Raw genomic sequence first — 20,878 nt, 5'->3', positions numbered from 1 at the left:
TCAGAAATCTGGGGACCTTATTTTCAACACTGAATTTGGGTACTTAGTTACACAAACAACAAAGTCTCCATGACCAATACATACACCTGGCCCTTGTGGTTTTCTAGCTGGAGTAACTACCCAACATTCCCATTTAAGGTAGGGGCCCACAGTATGTTGCACTTTGCTTCTCCTTCCAGAAGATCAGTAAAAGAACCATAATACAGCACTCTGTACTTCTGAGATGACCAGAGCTGATCTTCGATGAGATCAAAAAAATAAAACCTTAAAAAAAAAGGGTTCTTAAAAAGGGTTCTATCCCACTGTCTAAGCTCTTCCATGCTCAATACAGGCTATCTGTCTTCATGAAAGGTACACCACCTGGACCATCATTGTTCTATTCCAAAGGGACATCACAGGCCATGTCAGCAATGACCTTTTATTGGCCCTAGTATTTGGATCCACACAGAGGAGAACAAAACAGCCTCAGAGAATAACACAGATGCTTCACATTTGGATCAATGAGTATTCAATGGCGTGATTAAATAAGATGTCTATATGCTCAGCTAGGGAAACCCTATTTCATTTATATTCACTATTATCTATATTTAATAACTATTTACCACTATATACAAGCAAGTAAATGTGTTGCTATATACAAGCAAGCAAATGTAATAACTATTGACCACTATATACAAACAAGCAAATGACTTGAATTGTATTTTTCTTGAAAAGGAATAATGTTTAAACAACCGTCAACCATATTAAAGTACTACAAGCTTCCTGGGAGTGTCTTTTATCTATGGCACATATTGTTTGGACTCTAACTGGGTTTTTAATTGGGAATCTAATGGGTTTATCATGTACAACATGATAATTTGAAATATGTATACATTGTGGCATGGCTAAAAGAAAACCTCTGTCTCTGTCCAATGGCTATAACTATAATGTTATAAGATGGAGTGGGCTTGTCTATTTGGTGATTTCTCCAGTGCTCCTCCCTGCTTTCATTTTCCTGTATAATCTCTTGCAATTATGGTAAAATTGTAGCAGAACATGTCAAAATGAATCATCTATCCCCCCAAATGTCTACTTACCAAAAGTAAATAAGGCTTACCTACTTGTAGCCCTTGTTCGTTATGAAAATTATTGAAACCTCAAGCAACTAAAGCCTACCTCCAGACAAGACCACAGCACGCTGCCAGGAAATGTCTCTTCAGAAGAGGGGGCTCATAGGAAAGCAGTTTTCTCTTCTTTTGTTCTAGGAGGAAAGAGACATTTGGCTATGTAGAAGGAGGGCTCAGAAAGGTAACTTATGAGGAGAATGAAAGCTCTGGAACTAGAGAATTTTTTTTGACAACTGGCTCATCCTAACCACAGATAAGCAGAGGCTGGTTTCCTGACATGAAGGCCTGGAAGGGAACTAGGAGTGCACTTGGAAGAAGCCAGAGTCAGGGACAGGAAGGAATCACTAAGAGAGTGCTATTGAGATGGGGAAGTGACAATGGAAGGAGACAAAGCCAGGGCCTTCTCTTTGTGATTTTTATTTTACACATTGTTTTCATTTTCCTTTCCTTCCCTCCCCCTTCCCCCAACACCAGCTTATTCCTGCAAACCCTCTGAGGAAACAAGTATTTTGCCTATGAATTGCCTGGGTGGGTCTGAGCTGGATAATCTAGCAAGCTCCTTCAATGTTCCTTCTCTTCATACAAGGTATAAAAGCTACAGAAGTTGAAAAGTGGTGTATGTATTGAATATGTCATTGATATATTAATTTATAAGGGCATTTATACATTTGACTGACCTACAAAAATTCCTTTCTTCTATATACAGGTTAAGTCAATAAGACACAGCCAAAGACCAAGGAGCATTTTCTTAAAAGTCCTGGCAGACAGCAGGCTGTTGATCCCTCTGACCTCTCTATCCGAGTGGTGTGCCACATCCTCTTCCTCTCTCTGCCCATCTCTGGGTGTGCCATCTCTATAAGTACCACCCACAGTGGGGAAGAGGTGAGGGTGTCTGCCTTTAAAGAATGGACAATTTCTTAGTTTTGTTTCTTCTTAGTGACTTAAAACTAAAGGTTCATTGAGTTGGGAAGTCACAACTATTGACTAGAAGGAGACCTTAAAAGGATTTATTGCCCTCATATGTTGTTTTTCCCACTCTTCCCCTATTCATGAAACATCTGCTCAGCACAGTGGCAGAAGGAGTGATTTACTGGGCCTTGCCCACACCAAGAGCATTACTGTTTATTGCTTTTGTTCACATCTGTCTGCTGGGTCATTCCCACCTATCTCTCAAGGGATATAGGTCCAGCTCTTGACCCACATCCTTTCTAGAAATGGTTTTACCATCTTGTTCCACAATGAATCCCCCGACTCCTATAATTCAGACCAGAGCTGATCTGGAACGTTTACTTGACATTTGTCATGCCCAGAACTGCCATGGTTCTAATCTTTTTGTGATCATCTAAACATTTACATAGAAGGCCTGTCCTACCAACTTGACTGTAATCTCTTTAAAGACTGAAGGGTGCAACACCCAGCCCAGGGCTGAGCATTCCTAATAAGGACCTTCAAAAATATTTAGAAGTATTAGTTTTCTGCTAATAAATAAATTTCTAATTTCCATCCTCCACTTTATTCTTCATCTTGCCTAATTGAATTGATTTCTTTTCCACTTCTCTTTCAAATTTCTTTATGTGTTTGGCTCTTTTCCCCTTAATAATATGCTATATTTTACTATAAAAGTCCTCAAGTGAGTCTGTATCTGCTCTCTCCAGTTTTTCTTCTCTTATTCTTTCTTACACTCCTTCAAATAAGATGTTTGTCCTCAAAGTCACACCAAACCTGCTCTTATCAAAGTCACCAATGACCCCTACTTTGTTGGCTCAATTCTCAGCATTTCTGAGCACTCGTCATACTTGATCTGTAAAAATCATTTGACATAGTAGACCATTCCCTACTCCTTCATACACTTTCTCCACCTGATTTCTAGGAGCCCACACTCTGGTTTTCCTCCTACCCTGTGGGTCACTTCTTTTCCCTCTCCTTTACTGGTTTCTCCTCTTCTTTCTAATCTCTTTATCCTGGTGTATGCCAAGACTCAGTCCTTGTTCCTCTGTTTTTCTCTGTCAACATTCACTTATCCAGTCTCATGACTTTCAATAGTGTTATATTCCATGACTCTCAAATTTCTACATCCAGCCCAAACCTCTCTCTTGAACTTTAGAATCATATCCAGAACTGCCTACTTTATATTTTTGAATATAAAGTGTTGAAATATAAAGTGTTGGAAACACAAGTCCCTTTAGGTTCAACTTATCCAAAACAGAACTTTTCCTCTTCTCTCTCACACGTGAACTCCTGATCTTCCCTGTCTTCATCTTGGTTAATTGTTACTTCATCCCTCCAGTCACTCAGGTCAAAAATAACCTGTGTGTGTCTGAGCTGGGTATCATCAAACCCACCCAGCATGCCTGACCTCTTTCTCTCTCACAACCCACATCCTATCAGTCAGTAAATCCTGTCACCTCTTGCCTTGAAAATATTTCCAGGATCTGACCACTTCTCACTACCTCTGCTGCTCCCACCCTGGCCCTTTTCACCCTCACCTATCTCTTGGATTGTTGCCACAGCTCTTTCCTGGTCTCCTTGCCTTTACCGTTGCCCATCCATAGTCTCTTCACAACGCAGAAGTCAGACCCTCTTAAAGCATAAGTCAGATCATATCACTCCCCTAAAGAGGATCCCTACCTCACTCAGAGTAAAACCCAAAGCCCTTACAGTGCCCAGTAAGGACGTGCCTGAATAACCCTTCACCTACCTCCTTAATTCTCTGACCTCACTTCATATGACTCTCCTCATCCCCCACTCCACTCCAGACAAACTGACCTCCTTGTGCTGCCTGGAACATGCCAGCAACTCTCCTTCCTTAGGTTCTTTATACCAGCTGTTGCCTCTGCCTGGAAACACGCATGCCCCTGAAATCTACCTGAATCATTCCCTCATCCCCTCTTAAGCCTTCACTCAAATGTCGTTTTCAGCGAGACCTACTCTGGCCTTCCTATGTAATACTACAACCGCATTCTATCTCATACTCTTATACTTTCCCTATCTTGCTCTACTTCTCTTTTTTTCTTAATCCTATCACCGTATAACATGTAACATACTTATTTGTTTCATTTATTATTTCTGTCTCCACCAGCAGCAATAAAAGCTTCATGAGGATAGGGGTCTATGTTTGCTCACCAATATGTCTCAAGTCCTTCGAATGGTGCTTTCACATGTATGGAGGAATGAGTCAGTGTGTTCAGAAACCCACTCAATCCCACAGCAATAGAGAGCAGCCTGTTGCATATGCCCCTAACTCAGAAAAGACAAATCCAAAAGGGACTTGACTATTCATCAAAGTATAAGGCTTAGGACCCCATTTTCCCTCTGTGTTCCCACGTAAGCATTGCCTGCCATCCCCTTCATACAAGTTACTGTGCAAAAAAGGAATTTACCTTGATATGTGGATTCCACTGTAGCCACAGGACTGGGAATACATGACAGAATGTTGTTATGAACTATTATTTACTTTTCTAAGAAAGAACAGATTCTCTTCCTTCAATAATTATTAAGCTCTGACTCTGTGCCAGGAATGGGGAACATGCAGAAAAGGACCCTAATCTCCTGGGGATTTAATTCTAGTATAATTGCATATCCTCATCCTCAGTCTCCACCAAGGTCTGTCTTCAGATGGCCAGCTGGTAGAATGTTATTTCCCCTGGTGGGGAAAGAAGGAAAAACCCAGGCTCTACATTACTCTTATCCTTTAAAACCTTGCTACTCAAAGTGTGGTCCCCAACTAGCAGTATTAGCCTCAACTGGAACTTACTAGAAGTGCAGTATCTCAGGTCCCATCCTAGGCCAACTGAACCAGAAACTGCATTTTAATAAGACCCAGAGATGATTCTTATAAACCAAAATGTTCATACATGTTGAGGTGCACTGCCTTGGAATTCTCTACTGAATGCACTCGCATAGGTATTACATCAATTATGTGATAAGAAAAATTTGAAGAGTAGAAAGGAGTGAACTAACTTCATGTTTTCCTTTTGCTAAAGGACAAAATATCAATTGATTACATGAATGATAACATGAACTGTAGTAAAAAAAATCTAGATTAATGAGTCTGATCACTTACAAATTTATAGAACACAGGCTGATCTGAAATAAACGTGATAATCATTTGCTGAGATTTTGCGCTGTCATACACATTCAAAAGGCAATATTTAAAATGATTTAAGTAGATATGTTTAAAAGGGTAGACTCTGAGGTTAGATTTTCTGATTTCTAAGCCTGTTACTCTATCGCCAGCTGTGTTTCCTGGGCTAATTTGCTTGGCCTCTCTTAAGTTTCAGTTTCTTCTTCTGTACAATAGGAATAATAATACTAGTACTTATTTCACAAGTTTATTGTAAGAACAAAATGAGGCAATGTTTATAAAGAAGTAAGCATAGTGTTGGTACAATATGGTTGTCTTATAGTATACTGAATTGCATATAGTAAGAATTCAGTAAATGCTGTATTACTATTATTTCAATCAACATTCAATTTATCCAACAAATATTTTACTTATAGTATACAATAATATAGAAAAATCAGGATGGAGTATGAGGAGCCTACTTAGATAAGCAGGTCAGTCAAGTCCTCTTCGGGGAGAGGAAATTTACATGGAAACCTGGAGAATGAGAAGTAGCCAGTCACATAATGAGCGATAAAAATCAAGTGGGTGAAGAGAAGAGCTGCTCAAGACGGGTCAAAATCAGGCAGGGCATCATATTCCAGAAGAGGGGTTTGGATCATTTTCATAATCATTGTGAAGCTACTGAATGCTTTTGGACAAAGGAGTGAGTTAAATAGAAATGTGTGTTGGGGCTCCAGTGGGGACAAGGGTCTAGAAAATGTTCCCAAGACATATGAAGATGTATCAACATATTGTCAGTTTCTAAGGAATTGTTACTCAAATAGTCTGACTTGAGGTTTCCTGCCAAAGTGGAAAATCCTCCTCCCATGTCCTCCCACCCTTCATTTTGCTACTCGGCCCCTTCTCATTTAACACTTCCAGAGCCCAGCCCACACGTCAGTTTCTTTGTGAAACTTGTCTTTGTGAAACTCTGGCTTATGTCCGCTCTGTTCAGGGCTCTTTTTTGGGATCACTCAGAGCACCTGGCACATGCCTCTGGAGTAGAGCCTGTAGCTCATGCAACTGTAAATAGCTGCAATTCCTTTCTCTCTGCCATACTCGTATAAGGCTAAATATACCCTTTCCAGCTTTGAAGTCTTAGCAACTATTATAAAGTGGGGACACTGGCACATAGTGAGCACTCAGTACATGTTATTTTGAATAAATGACCTAATATTTGTTTACCATTTCTTTCCTTACTACAAAAATTGTGCCTAATTCAACTTCTGCATGTCAATGGCAAACTGAGGACCCTGAAACTTGGAGTTTTCTTGAGAAAATTATCTCTTTTAGTGACAATCCCCTGGAAGATAAAGATCTCAATTTGCAATATATCTAACAAAGTGGACATGTATTTTGCTCACTTTTTTTTTTTATCTTCAGCTAAGGATTATTACCATAGGAACCATAGAAGAATTTCTATACTACCAGTGCTGTGTTCTGTTTTTCTTAGACTTTCCTTTCTGTAGCCCTCTGCGGTGCTTCTCATCTACAGAGGGGAAACTGAAGCACAGGAAAAGCCGGCCACACAATGAGTCAGTGATCAGACAAGGCTTCCTGTGAGAGAATTTCTCCGGAGGCATCTCTGAGGCAGACACACTCACCCCTGACACTACCTCACCTTCCATGCTCTCTCTCTCTTATGTATCCTCCCAGGTACAGCTTTAACTCTTCCCTCATCCTATCAGTCCTGGCCTGTGTTCTTGGCCACCCCAGAAAACCCAGTTACCTCACCTCTGACCCCTCATCTGGACCAAACCTCCTATGCTGTCCCCTGTCCTTATCCTCCCTCAGAACTAGTCACTCTTCCTTGTCACCATTGCCTTCCTGCCACCTTCCCCCATCTGGGCACAGATACCTTGAAGGCCTGCTCTTTGAAACAAATAAAGAACCTCAAGTTGACAAAGAACCCGAAGGATCACCAAATACCACTCCAAAGGTATTTTCCAGAGTACCTTCTGGATCAACCAATTTGTGCTAATGGGAGGTTAAAGGAAAGGAGGAAAGGCCTAAACTGGAAGGAGCCAAAATAAAGTACCCTTTCAACTTTCAGAGTGATATAACTGCTGTATCTGCTTAGTCAAGACCAGCATGCTAGCATGTTCACTGGTAGAGTTGGAATTCATCTCTACCAAAACTTTTCTTGGGCCTGAGAGGACAGGAGAGAAGAAATTCCCTTACTGATGAATCTGTAACATACATCCTTGCCAGAGAGTATTCAGGTTTAGGCAACCTAAAACTTAAACAATTTTGGTGGCATCTTTTAGAAAAAAGAATATTACAAATTACAAATACAAAATTAGGTACCAATGTGAGCATTTATTTAGAATAAGAAGAGAAATCATAACAAATTGCACATTTTTAAAAAGCTGATGAATACCATTTATGGTATCATCACAAAATTCACGGCCTTCCAGGCCCAGAGTAGTGAGGAGCTCTGAAGTTTGTTTCACTGGCATATGAAACTCTGACATCAACTCTGGAGTTCTTTTTCTCTTTCATTTCCTGCCTATATTTTTTGAAAGGTTATCTGTCCTCATCTCCCCTGTTTTGTCACCACTGAATCACTCCCTGTATGTAGGCACTTAGTTCCAGTCCACATCACCTCAATGAAACAATTGTCTCCAATGTTCCCAGTGGTTCCTGGTCCCCAAATCAGAGCCCTCATGCTCCTATCTCTCATTAGCCGTAGGCACTCATCACCATGTTTTCCTTCCAAAATTTAATCTGCCTTGGCATGCAAGAGCCTATATTGTCACAATTTTTCTATGGCATGTGTTAATCTTTCTTTTTCATTGGTTTTACATCCTCTTTCCATTCACCAATCAGGTATAATCCAAGGCTCTATCCTCAACCTTTTTTGCTCTTGTCACTCCACATGTTTCTCCATCACCTCTCAAATCTTCAAACATACAGGTAATTCCCCAATTGCCTCTCTGGCCCTGACATCTCTCCTGTGTGTCAGTCCTACCAATTTCACAGAACACCTCCCTGTTAAAGTACCCCTGGACCTCAAACTCAGTGTGCTCAGAACCAAACCAACTGCACTCACTCCTAAACTGGATATGGCCCTCACTACATACTGAAACTCACTGTTTCTAACGTTAAACACTTCATTCTTCCCCCTAATTAGCTGCTTATCAGAAACTCCTCCTTTCTGTTAAAGGTTTGACCTAAGTGGATGATACTCAGTCATAATCTCAGCATAGGAAATGACACTGTCTTTCTTTTGTCTTTTCTGCCTAAAGAAATTCACTCGGGTTTCTTCCTCATGAGAACAGGAAGTTGCTCTGAAGGGCTGCCTGAGAGGAAGAGCGTCGGCAACCCACTAGGTAAGGTCTGGTTTAAATTTAATTCTCTGTTTGTCTCCAAGACAGCCCACCACAAGACTTAACTCAGCCTAATATTCAGTCAATAGAGATGATGATTGCAAAGTCAGAAGGCCTCCTTGGCAGCATCCTAGAGACTCTTACTTCCTAAAGCTGGAAGGCAAAAAAAAACTCTGAGGATCAGTTCTAGGTCTTAATGACAGGTTAGTAGACTCCAGGGAAATTTAAATCCTCAACTTTGGCAAGTCTGCTTTGTCAGAAGAAGGACCCTAGTTGAAAAACAATGGTACCTTGAGACTTGGAAATAGGACATTTGGGTCAATATACTCAAAAACCTTGAAACACCAAATTCATTTGACCTTTCTGGATGAGCAGAACTATCCTACTCTTCCCTATTAAAGGCTAACACTTCTCCTTTACATGAAGATGACACAGCAGCCACTGTCTTGAAAAACAATATTTTCAAAGGTCAGAATTTACTCCCACCTCCCTTTCTGGCCACCTGGCCAATAACTAGGCTCATTCACAACATAGTATGTCACAGTGGGGAAAAGCAAACTCCACCACCACCACCACAACCATCCCTCAGTGAACACAATAAATCCAAACCAATTTTGCATCCTAGGGGAAATGGCAGGGGTGGTAGTCCTTATCATATTTCCATTTAATTTACCAGTCTAACCCATAAAGAAACTCTATGGATCCTGGAGGATGCCCATGGACTGCTGCAAACTCCATCTGTACTGGCTCTAAGTGCACTTGCTGTGACAGATGTGATGTCTTTGTTAGAATAGATTAGCACAGCCTCAGCTACATGTGCCATTGACCTAGCCAATGAGTTCCTTTACATCCTTTCAAGACAATAGATCAAAAGCAGCCCACATTCATATGGAAGGGACAATAGTCTACATTTTTGGTCTTCCCCTAGGGTTGTATTATCCTCTTCCTCTGGCATAATATAGTCTGAAGGGGCTTGGACTGTCTGAACATTCCAAAGAACATAATATTAGTATCTTCTATAGATAACACCATGTTAATCAGCCAATGAGCAAGATGTGGCAAATATTTTGGAGACCTTTGTAGGATGTGTGTACTCCAGAGGGTAGGAAAATATGCTGGGAAGATTCAGGGGCCTGTCACATCAGTCAAGATTGTAGGGGTCCGGTTGTCTGGGGAACAAATTACACAACTCCTTTACCAGAATCTTCCTCTCCCCTTGCCCTTTTATCCTTCCACCACAATTCATGCAGACCTCCAACCACCCTATTCTTTAGCTTATGAGTGGCACCATAAACTAGAGATCCAAAACAGAACTCATTATCTTCCCCAGAAACCCTCCTCCTCTTCTATTTTACATCTCTTGATGAATGTCTTCATCACCCGCCCAACTGCCCTGCCTGGAATCTGGGCATTCACTCAGGCTTTATCTCTCCCTTTGCCCCTATGTTCAGTTAGTCACTGAGTCCTAAACATTTCTCATGTCTGGTTTCTCATCTTCTCTGCTGCACTTACCCCAATTCTAGCCATAAGCATCCCTTTCCTGGACTGACACTAGAAACAAATATTATTTGAGAAGAATACCAACTTTTGGAAACCTGTTGGTCTGTTGACTTGAGTTTAACTTTCATTTGGCTATTCTCCACTATGTTAATTTGGACAAGTGAATTAACCTCTTTAAGCCTCAGTTTCTTCATTTGTAAAATAAGGTTGGCATGAAGACAAAATGAAACAAATGTGTAAAGTGCCTGGCAGAGGAACGAGTTTATAAGTGACAGCAATGGGCAGAATTGGTAGTAGTCATAGTACAAGAGCCTTCCTTACTGATCTCACTGTCTTTAATGACAAGCCTCTGATTTATATTGCCTAAATGATTATTTCAACATGTAGATCTGATTATGTTGCCGTGTTGCTCCCTTGCATTGATTCCTATGGACTAGCTGATAATATAAAACCCCTTTGCATGATTAACAAGGTTCTTTGTGGCCTTTCCCATCTTTTCCCTACACTCTCTGCACCCTGTACCATCACCATTACATTTTTCATTTAGACAATAAAAACTTATTTGTGCTCGTCTGAACAACTAATGCTCTGTCATGCCTCAATGTCTGCATATGCTAGTCCTTTATATAAAAATACATCTGCCATCTCTTCCTCGTCTCTTATGTCTTAACTAAAAGCTCTTTCCTCTGAGAAGCCTTCACTGAATTTTATCTAAAGCCCCCATGAACTCTATACACTCCTCTGCTCTAGCAAGATGCCATTATATTCTGACTCTATTCATACCATTCTCCCTGACTTTACTGCATCATCCTTGAGGTCAGGGAGTCCGTCATGTTCATATTTGCCCCCTGCCCAACCCTATACCTAGTACATACTAAAAGCTGAAGGAAACAATGAAGAAATGATGGCCACCATCTCATGCAGAATTAAATCCATATTTAATAACATGTTAATGAGACAAATCTCAACCCACAAGTTCAAGCATGAACAAAATGAAACTTTATTTTGTTACCACTTGTGATGGTTACTACTGAGTGTCAACTTGATTGGATTGAAGGATACAAAGTATCAATCCTGGGTGTGCCTGTGAGGGTGTTGCCAAAAGAGATTAACATTTGCATCAGTGGGCTGGAGAACGCACATTCACCCTTAATCTGGTGGGCACAATCTATTCTCCTTCCAGCAAATATAAAGCAGGCAGAAAAACATGAAAAAGAGAGATGGGCCTAGGCTCCTAGCCTACATCTTTCTCCCATGCTGGATGCTTCCTGCCCTAGAACATCGGACTCCAAGTTCTTCAGTTTTGGGACTTGGACTTGCTTTCCTTGCAAGTATATATATATATATATATATATATATATATATATATATATATATGGAAATATATATATATGGAAATATATATATGGAAATATATATATCTATGGAAATATATATATATGGAAATATATATGGAAATATATATATGGAAATATATATGGAAATATATATGGAAATATATATATATGGAAATATATATATATGGAAATATATATGGAAATATATATATATGGAAATATATATGGAAATATATATATATGGAAATATATATGGAAATATATATATGGAAATATATATATATGGAAATATATATATATGGAAATATATATATGGAAATATATATATGGAAATATATATATGGAAATATATATATGGAAATATATATATATGGAAATATATATATGGAAATATATATATATGGAAATATATATATGGAAATATATATATATGGAAATATATATATATGGAAATATATATATGGAAATATATATGGAAATATATATATATGGAAATATATATATGGAAGTATATCTATATGCAAGTGTATATATAAGTATATATGCAAGTATCTATATGCAAGTATATATATAAGTATATATACCTAGGTATATATACTTATAGTATATATACTTATAGTATATATATAAGTATATATACTTATATATATTATAAGTGTATATACTTATAGTATATATATATTCTTATATATATTATATATATTCTAATAGTATGGAGAACATTGATAGTCCTTGGCATGAACTGTTTAGAGAGTTATGCCAAATAAATGCATTTGGCACTCCTAGTTCACCACTCATGAGAGGCAAGGAGTTTAGTGACTCTATACATAATAACTTTGACTATATGTGTAGAACCAAGGAACATAATGAAGCTGGTTGATTGCTCCTAAGTTCAGTGGACAAAGTGATGAAAGAAAATGATGAACTTAGGCCTTCTGTCTCCTGGCTTCAGAAGCAGGTATTGAGCCTCAAATCTGCTAAGATTGCCCTGAGTGAGAGTCTTATCTTCTGTAGAGAAAGAGCTGAAATTGTGGAAAAAGAGACACAAGCTCTTATCTTGTGAGTGGCTGACCTGCAATGAAAGGTGCATGCACAGCCCCACCAGGTGTCTACTCTTAAAGTGAGGGCATTGATTGGAAAAGAATGGGACCCAGCAACTTGGAATGGGGATGTATGGGAGGACCCTGATGAAGTTGGGGACACTGAGTTTGTAAACTCTGATGAAATTTTTTTGCCAGAAGGAACAGCTTCCCCATCCCTAGTAGTGGCAACATCCCCTCCCTGACCCAAGCTGTCATCAGCCTTTCCACCTTTCTCTGAGGAGATAAACCCTGTGCTGCCTGAGGAAACAGTGATGACCTCCCCTGAAGCAGTTGCCAGGCAAAATAATGTTGATTCTCCTCAGGAGTCACCCCCAAATCCCCTGTTTGCTTCTAAACCTATAACTAAAGTCCCAGTGAGCCCCAGAGGTAAGGTTAAGAGTGTGATTACCATGAGGAGGTGCACTACACTATAAAAGAACTATTTGAGTTCTCTAATTTATATAAACAGCAACCTGGAGAACAGACGTGGGAATGGATATTAAGGGTATGGGATAATGGTGGAAGGAACATAGAGTTGGATCAGGCTGAATTTATTGAATTGGGGCCACTAAGTAGGGGCTCTGCATTTAATGTTGCAGCTTGGGGAGTTAAAAAAGGTTCTGATCATTTATTAGCTTGGTTAACTGAAATATGGATTAAAAGATGTCCCACTGTGAGTGAGCTGGAAATGCCTGATCTCCTTGGTTTAATGCAGAGGAAGGGTTCCAAAGGTTTAGGGATATTGGGATAGTGGAATGGATTAGTCACTTTAGACCTACTCATCCCAGCTAGGAGGGTCCAGAAGGTATACTTTTGACCAATGCCTTGCAAAATAGATTTGTGAAGGCAGCACCTGCATCTTTGAAGAGCCCTGTAATTGCTCTTCTCTGTATGTCAGATCTAACCATGGGAATTTAGTCACTCAACTACAAAATTTAAATACAATGGGAATAATTGGATCCTGACAGGGGCCAAGCGGCAGCACTCAACTGTCAAAGGCAAGGTGGGCGTAGCTACTGTGATGGACAGCAGAAGCAAAGCACTAATCAGAATAGTCTGATTTGTGTGGAGCTCTGGCATTGGCTAATTAATCACACTGTTCCTAGAAGTGAAATTGATAGGAAGCCTACTGCATTCCTACTTAAATTATACAAACAGAAAACTTCTAGGTCAAAAAGACAAAAGACTAATTTGAATTATAAAAACAGAGAATCACAGCCCCTCAATCAATTTCCAGACTTGAGTCAGTTTACAGACCCAGAACCCCTTGAATGAATGGGAGCCCAGGTCCCCTTGAGAAAGGACCCCACTACATTACCAGAAATTTATGCAGTGAATTTTTCTCCCATCCGTCCCCAAAGAGACCTCCAGCCTTTTACCAGGGTAACTGTGCATTGGGGAAAGGGAAATGGTCAGACATTTCAGGGACTACTAGACACTGTCTTTGAGCTGACATTGGTTCCAGGGGACCCAAAACGTCATTGTGGTCCTCCAGTTAAGGGTAGGGGCTTATGGAGGTCAGGTAATTAATGGAGTTTTAGCTCAGGTCCAACTTACAGTGATTTCAATGGGTCCCCAGACACATCCTGTGGTCATTTCCCAAGTGCCAGAATGCATAGTTGGCATAGACATACTTAGCAGCTGGTAGAACCCCCACATTGGCTCCCTGACTGGTAGGGCGAGGGCTACCATGGTGGAAAAGGCCAAATGGAAGCCATTAGAGCTGCCTCTACCTAGAAAAACAGTAAATCAAAAACAGTGTCGCATCCCTGGAGGGACTGTGGAGATTAGTGCCACCATCAAGGACTTGAAAGATGCAGGGGTTGTGATTCCCACCACATTCTCATTCAACTCTCCCATTTGAGCTGTGCAGAAGACAGATGGATCTTGCGGAATGACAGTGGATTATCATAAGCTTAACCAAGTGGTGACTCCAATTGCAGCTGCTGTACCAGAGGTGGTTTCATTGCTTGAGCAAACTAACACATCTCCTGGTACCTGGTACACCATCATTGACTTGGTAAATGTCTTTTTCTCCATTCCTGTCCATAAGGCCCACCAGAAGCAATTTGCCTTCAGCTGGCAAGGCCAGCAATATGCCTTTGCTGTCCTACCTCAGGGTGTATCAACTCTCTGGCTTTGGGTTATAATCCAAGAGACCTTGATCACTTTTTGCTTCCACAAGATATCACACTGGTCCATTACATTGATGACATTATGCTGATTGGATCCAGTAAGCAAGAAGTAGCAAACACACTGGACTTATTAGTGAGACATTTGCATGCCAGAGGATGGGAAATAAATCTGACTAAAATCCAGGGAACTTCTACCTCAGTAAAATTTCTAGGGGTCCAGTGGTGTGGGGCCTGTTGAGATATTCTTTCTAAGGTAAAAGATAAATTGCTGAATTTGGCCCCTCCTACAACCAAGAAACAGGCACAATGCCTAGTGGGCCTATTGGGATTTTGGAGGCAACACATTCCTCATTTGGGTGTGTTACTCCAGCCTATTTATCGAGTGACTCAAAAGTCTCTCAGTTTTGAGTGGGGTCCAGAACAGGAGAAAGCTCTGCAATAGGTACAGGCTGCTGTGCAAGCTGCTCTGCCACTTAGGCCATATGACCCAGCAGATCCAATGGTGCTTGAGGTTTCAGTGGCAGATAGGGATGCTGTTTGGAACCTCTGGCAGGCTTCCATAGGTGAATCACAGTGGAGGCCTCTAGGATTTTGGAGCAAGTCCCTGCCATCTTCTGCAGATAACTACTCTCCTTTTGAGAGGCAGCTCTTGGTCTGTTACTGGGCTTTGGTGGATACTGAACGTTTAGCTATGGGTCATCAAGTCATCATGGTGACCTGAACTGCCTATCATGAACTGGAGACTTTCTGACCCATCTAGCCATAAAGTGGGTCATGCACAGCAGCATTCCATCATCAGATGGAAGTGCTATATACATGATCGTGTTTGAGCAGATCCTGAAGGCGCAAGTAAGTTACATGAGGAAGTGGTTCAAATGCCCATGTTCTCCACTCCTGCCACCTGCCTTCTCTCCCCCAGCCTGTGCCAATGGCCTCATGGGGAGTTCCCTATGATCAATTGACAGAGGAAGAGAAGACTACGGCCTGTTTCACATATGGTTCTGCACGATACGCAGGCACCACCTGAAAGTGGACAGCTGCAGCACTACAACCCCTTTCCAGGACATTCCTGAAGGACAGCGGTAAAGGAAAATCTTCCCAGTGGACAGAACTTCGAGCAGTGCACCTGGTTGTGCACTTTGCATGGAAGGAGAAATAGCCAGATGTGTGATTATATACTGATTCATGGACTGTAGCCAATAGTTTAGCTGGATATTCAGGGACTTGGAAGAAGCATGATTGGAAAATTGGTGACAAAGAAATTTGGGGAAGAGGTATGTGGATGGACCTCTCTGAGTGGTCAAAAACCGTAAAGATATTTGTATCCCATGTGAGTGCTCACCTTAGCAGAGGTGACCTTAGCAGAGGAGGAGTTTAATAATCAAGTGGATAGGACATCCCATTCTGTGGACACCACTTAGCCTCTTTCCCTAGCCACCCCGGTCATCGCCAAATGGGCCCATGTACAAAGTGGCCATGGTGGCAGGGATGGAAGTTACGCATGGGCTCAGCAACATGGACTTCCACTTACCAAGGCTGACCTGGCTATGGCCACTACTGACTGCCCAGTTTGCAAGCAACAGAGACCAACACTGAGCCCTCAATATGGCACTATTCCTCAGGGTGATCAGCAAGCTACCTGGTGGCAGGTTGATTATATTGGACATCTTCCATCATGGAAAGGGCAGAGGTTTGTCCTTACTGGAATAGACACTTAATCCAGATATGGGTTTGCCTATCCTGCACGTAATGTTTCTTCCAAGACTACCATCCATGAACTCACGGAATGCCTTATCCACCATCATGGTATTTCACACAGCATTGCATCTGACCAAGGCAGTAACTTTACAGCTAAAGAAGTGTGGCAGTGGGTCATGCTCATGGAATTGATTGGTCTTACCATGTTCCCCATCATCCTGAAGCAGCTGGATTGATAAAACAGTGGACTGGCCTTTTGAAATCACAATTACAATGCCAACTGGGTGACGATACTTTGCAGGGCTCAGGCAAAGTTCTCCAGAAGGCCATGTATGCTCTGAATCAGCATCCAATATATGGTATTGTTTCTCCCATAGCCAGGATTCCTGGGTCCAGGAATCAACGGGTAGAAATGGAAGTGGCACCACTCACCATCACCCCTAGTGATCCACTAGCAAAATTTTTGCGTCCTGTTACCGTGACATTACATTCTGCTGGCCTAGAGGTCTTAGTTCCAGAGGGAGGTATGCTGCCACCAGGAGACACAAATACGATTCCATTAAACTGGAAGTTAAGATTGCCACCTGGACACTTTAGGCTCCTCCTACCTTCAAGTCAATAGGCTAAGAAGATAGTAACAGCATTGGCTGGGGTGATTTAACCCCCAGACTATCAAGATGAAATCAGTCTACTACTGCACAACGGAGGAAGAGTAGCATGGAATACAGGAGATTCATTAGGGCATCTCTTAGTATTACCATGCCCTGTGATTAAGGTCAATGGGAAACTACAACATCCCAATCCAGGCAGGACTATGAAGGATCCAGACCCTTCAAAAATGAAGGTTTGGGTCACTCCACCAGGAAAAACCATGACCTGCTGAAGTGCTTGCTGAAGGCAAAGGGAATACAAATGGGTAGTAGAAGAAGGTAGTCATCAATACCAGCTATGACCACGTGACCAGCTGCAGACACGAGGACTGTAACAGTCATGAGTATTTCCTCCTTCTTTTCTTAAAAACATGTTTGCACATGTATACACTTGTACTAAGAAAATATCTTCATTTTATTTCATTTTTCCTTTATCATGTGATGTAAGATTTATTGACTTCTTATCAACATTTAAGCATTGTTAACTTTATGTAGTATTTGGATTGGAGCTTGGTGCATTTCCACTTGTACAAAGGATAGTTGTATTATGTTAGGTGTAATTATGACCTCATTATTACCTTTATTTGAAGATTATGTATGATCTCAGGAGCTGTGTATGGGTTCAAGTTGACAAGGGGTGGACTTGTGATGATTAATACTGAGTGTCACCTTGATTGGACTAAAGGATACAAGTATTAATCCTCAATCTGTCTGTGTGGGTGTTGCCAAAAGAGATTAACATTTGAGTCAGTGGGCTGAGGAAGGCACATCCACCCTGAATCTGGTGGGCACAATCTAATCAGCTTCCAGCGAATATAAAGCAGGAAGAAAAACATGAAAATGAGAGACAGGCCTAGCTTCCCAGCCTACATTTTTCTCCCGTGCTGGATGTTTCCTGCCCCAGAACATCAGACTCCAAGTTCTTCATTTTTGGGACTCAGACTGGCTCTCCTTGCTCCTCAGCTTGCAGACAGCCTATTGTGGGACCTTGTGATTGTGTAAGTTAATATTTAATAAACTCCGCTTTATATATATATAAACTTACACACACACAAACACACACACACACACACATATATATATAATCCTGTTAGTTCTGTCCTTCTAAGAGAACACTGACTAATCACCACTCATCTTAATTTTTATTTTCTGCACCCATTCCATTGCTGGAGGAAATTACATCTTAATTTAATTCCATTTTCTCAATTATTTGAATTTATTTCTCCACTGTTCCCCCTGGTTGTGTCTAAGCAGTATCCCAGATCCCATCCCATGTGCATCAAGGCACAGGGAAGGAGGAGGACAATCACCTGACCTTCAGTCTTCACCTGTCCCCTTTGGCATCAACAGAGACACTGTCTCACCCATCTGGTTTATGGTTTCTGTGCTGTACAAGACACAGCTACATTCTTCTTGCCCCACTCAGAGATCTGCTTAGGTTGGGCTCTCTCTCAGAGACTTCCATACTGTTCTTAGTGGGCATCCAGAATATATTTAGTTGTTCTGCATGCCCTATTGGGGTCTTTTGACTTAAATATCACACGTGGTCCCCTCTACTCCACTACTCCCACCTTATTCAGAGTACAGGGAAACGTCGACAAAACTGTCATCACGCCTGGCTTCACTGAGATTATAAATCATAGTCACTTTCTGCTCTCTGACCCCACAAATACACATTGGATTTGTATCATATGCTCCTTTCATTTCCAGACTGAGCCTGAAGGAGGGCATGGAGAAGGTCCTTTCTCAGGAACGCACATGAGCATTTACTGCTGCAATACACATTACTGCTTCCCATCCAGAGCACATCTTTCCCACAGAGGTAGAAGAGTTTTCTAATCTATAATAGTAAAAGCTAGCTCTGACTGATCCCCACCCTTCCAAATCTATTATATTAGTCTTTAACTTGATTATCTGAGACTTTGGGACTACTGAGACTCCAGAACATGAGTTCTTATAACTTAAAATAAGCTCTTGAGACTGAACAGCCAAGAATCTGATTCTTCATTAATTTAACACATATTCATTGAATACCACTATAGACTGTTGTAGATTCACGGGACACCTGGCAATAAGTTGTCTCCTTAGAGAGCTTACATCCTGATGGGATCATATTTTCCTGAGTGTTTCTATAATAGCCCTTCTTTAAAGCAGTACACATACACAATCCTAGCTAATTGTGCCATGGCAGGACAGTTCTTAGGCTAATCAAAAGGGAGAGAGGGGCTGGGCATCGTGGCTTACTCCTGCAATCCCAACATTTTGGGAGGCTGAGGTAGGAGGATCACTTGAGCTCAGGAGTTCAAGACCATCCTGGGCGACAGGGTGAGACCTCATCTCTACTAAAAATAAAAGAAATTAGTTGGGCATGGCAGCGTGCACCTGTAGTTCCAGTTACTCAGGAGACTGAGGCAGGAGGCTCACTTGAGCTCAAAAGCGTGAGGCTGCAGTGAATCATTATCATGCCACTGCACTTCAGCCTGATTGACAGAGCAAAACCCTGTCTCGAAAAAAAAAAAAGAAAGAAAAAAAAAAGGCAGAAAGAGAGAAGCGTGTATCAGTTAATTTATTACTAAAAGTTCAGTCGCTATGTCATGCAAAACCTTCCATGAGATGCCCCACTCCTAAACTACCTCCTGATACTCCCCTACAAATGGCCTATGCTCCAGTCACACACACTGCTGACAAAGACAACAGTGGGCTGTGCTCTCCTACCCCTTCATTCATTGATCCTTTCTTCTCCGAGAAACTTTTTAAGCTGCTTCAATTGGACCTACCCTCATGAAGCCTTCCCTGCCCACTAAGACTGAGTTAGAGGTCTTTTGTTTGTGCTGTGCTGTCATAGCATTTTGTGTTCATTCTTTCCATAGTATTCATCTCACAGAATTTGCTATGCATCTGATATTACCACCTCACCATTAACCTCCTTGAAAACAAGGATTGGTTTTCCTTTATCTCTATATAGCCATACCTAGCCCAGAGCCTAACATATCAGATAGATATTCAAAGAATATTTGTTAAATGATACATACCTTTTGAAATGTATATATTTCCCAGATTAAAAATTATTTAGCATAGGTTGAAATTAGAAAATAAAATATTGGGATGATTTTAGAAAAAAAATCAAATAGAGGTAGAGAACAGAAGGTGTCTATTAATGAGGCTGGGCATGGTGGCTCATGCCTGTAATCCCAGCACTTTGGGAGGCTGAGGCAGGAGGATCATTTGAGGCCAGGAGTTCAAGACCAGCCTGGCCAACATGGTGAAACCCTGTCTCTACTAAAAATACAAAAATTAGTTGGGCATGGTGGCACTTGTCTGTAATCCCTGCTACTCGGGAGGTTGAGGCACGAGAATCACTTGAACCCAGAAGGTGGAGTTTGCAGCAAGCTGAGATCGCGCCACTGCACTCCAGCCTGGGCAACAGAGCAAGATTCTATCTCAGAAAAAAAAAAAAAAAAGAGAAGGTATCTATTAATGAAAGGAAAACTCTGAGAAAATTAGAGATAGATTCCTTTATTCCTAGGCCTTAGGAACAACCTATAGACTCATAATATATTCCTAGGTCATATTATCTGTTAGTGCCTTGAGTTGAACCTGTGGTAATTATTTGCTAAGTAAACAATTATCTTATATTTAATTTTTTGAAAAGGGGCATTTCCTTTTTTAAAGATAAATCTCTCAATTATTCTGAATGTTGAATCACAATATCCAAAGATAAATCTCTCAATTTTTCTGAATGTTGGATCACAATATCCTTGGAATTAAGTAAGTTTGTTTTTATAATAATGACCAGCTTTTGGACTGTGCATTTAACATATAGCAAAGGTACTAATTCTGAATAATTTCTTTTAGATTTGAAACACCAGAGATGTGCATATGTGCATAAAAAATGTATCAAAATTTAACTGATAGGTAATAAGACTTCTTGGTAGC

Source organism: Homo sapiens, chromosome 1 (assembly GCF_000001405.40).
Source record: "Homo sapiens chromosome 1, GRCh38.p14 Primary Assembly".
NCBI classification, from domain to species: domain Eukaryota; kingdom Metazoa; phylum Chordata; class Mammalia; order Primates; family Hominidae; genus Homo; species Homo sapiens.
Note: the sequence above shows the minus strand (reverse complement) of the source record.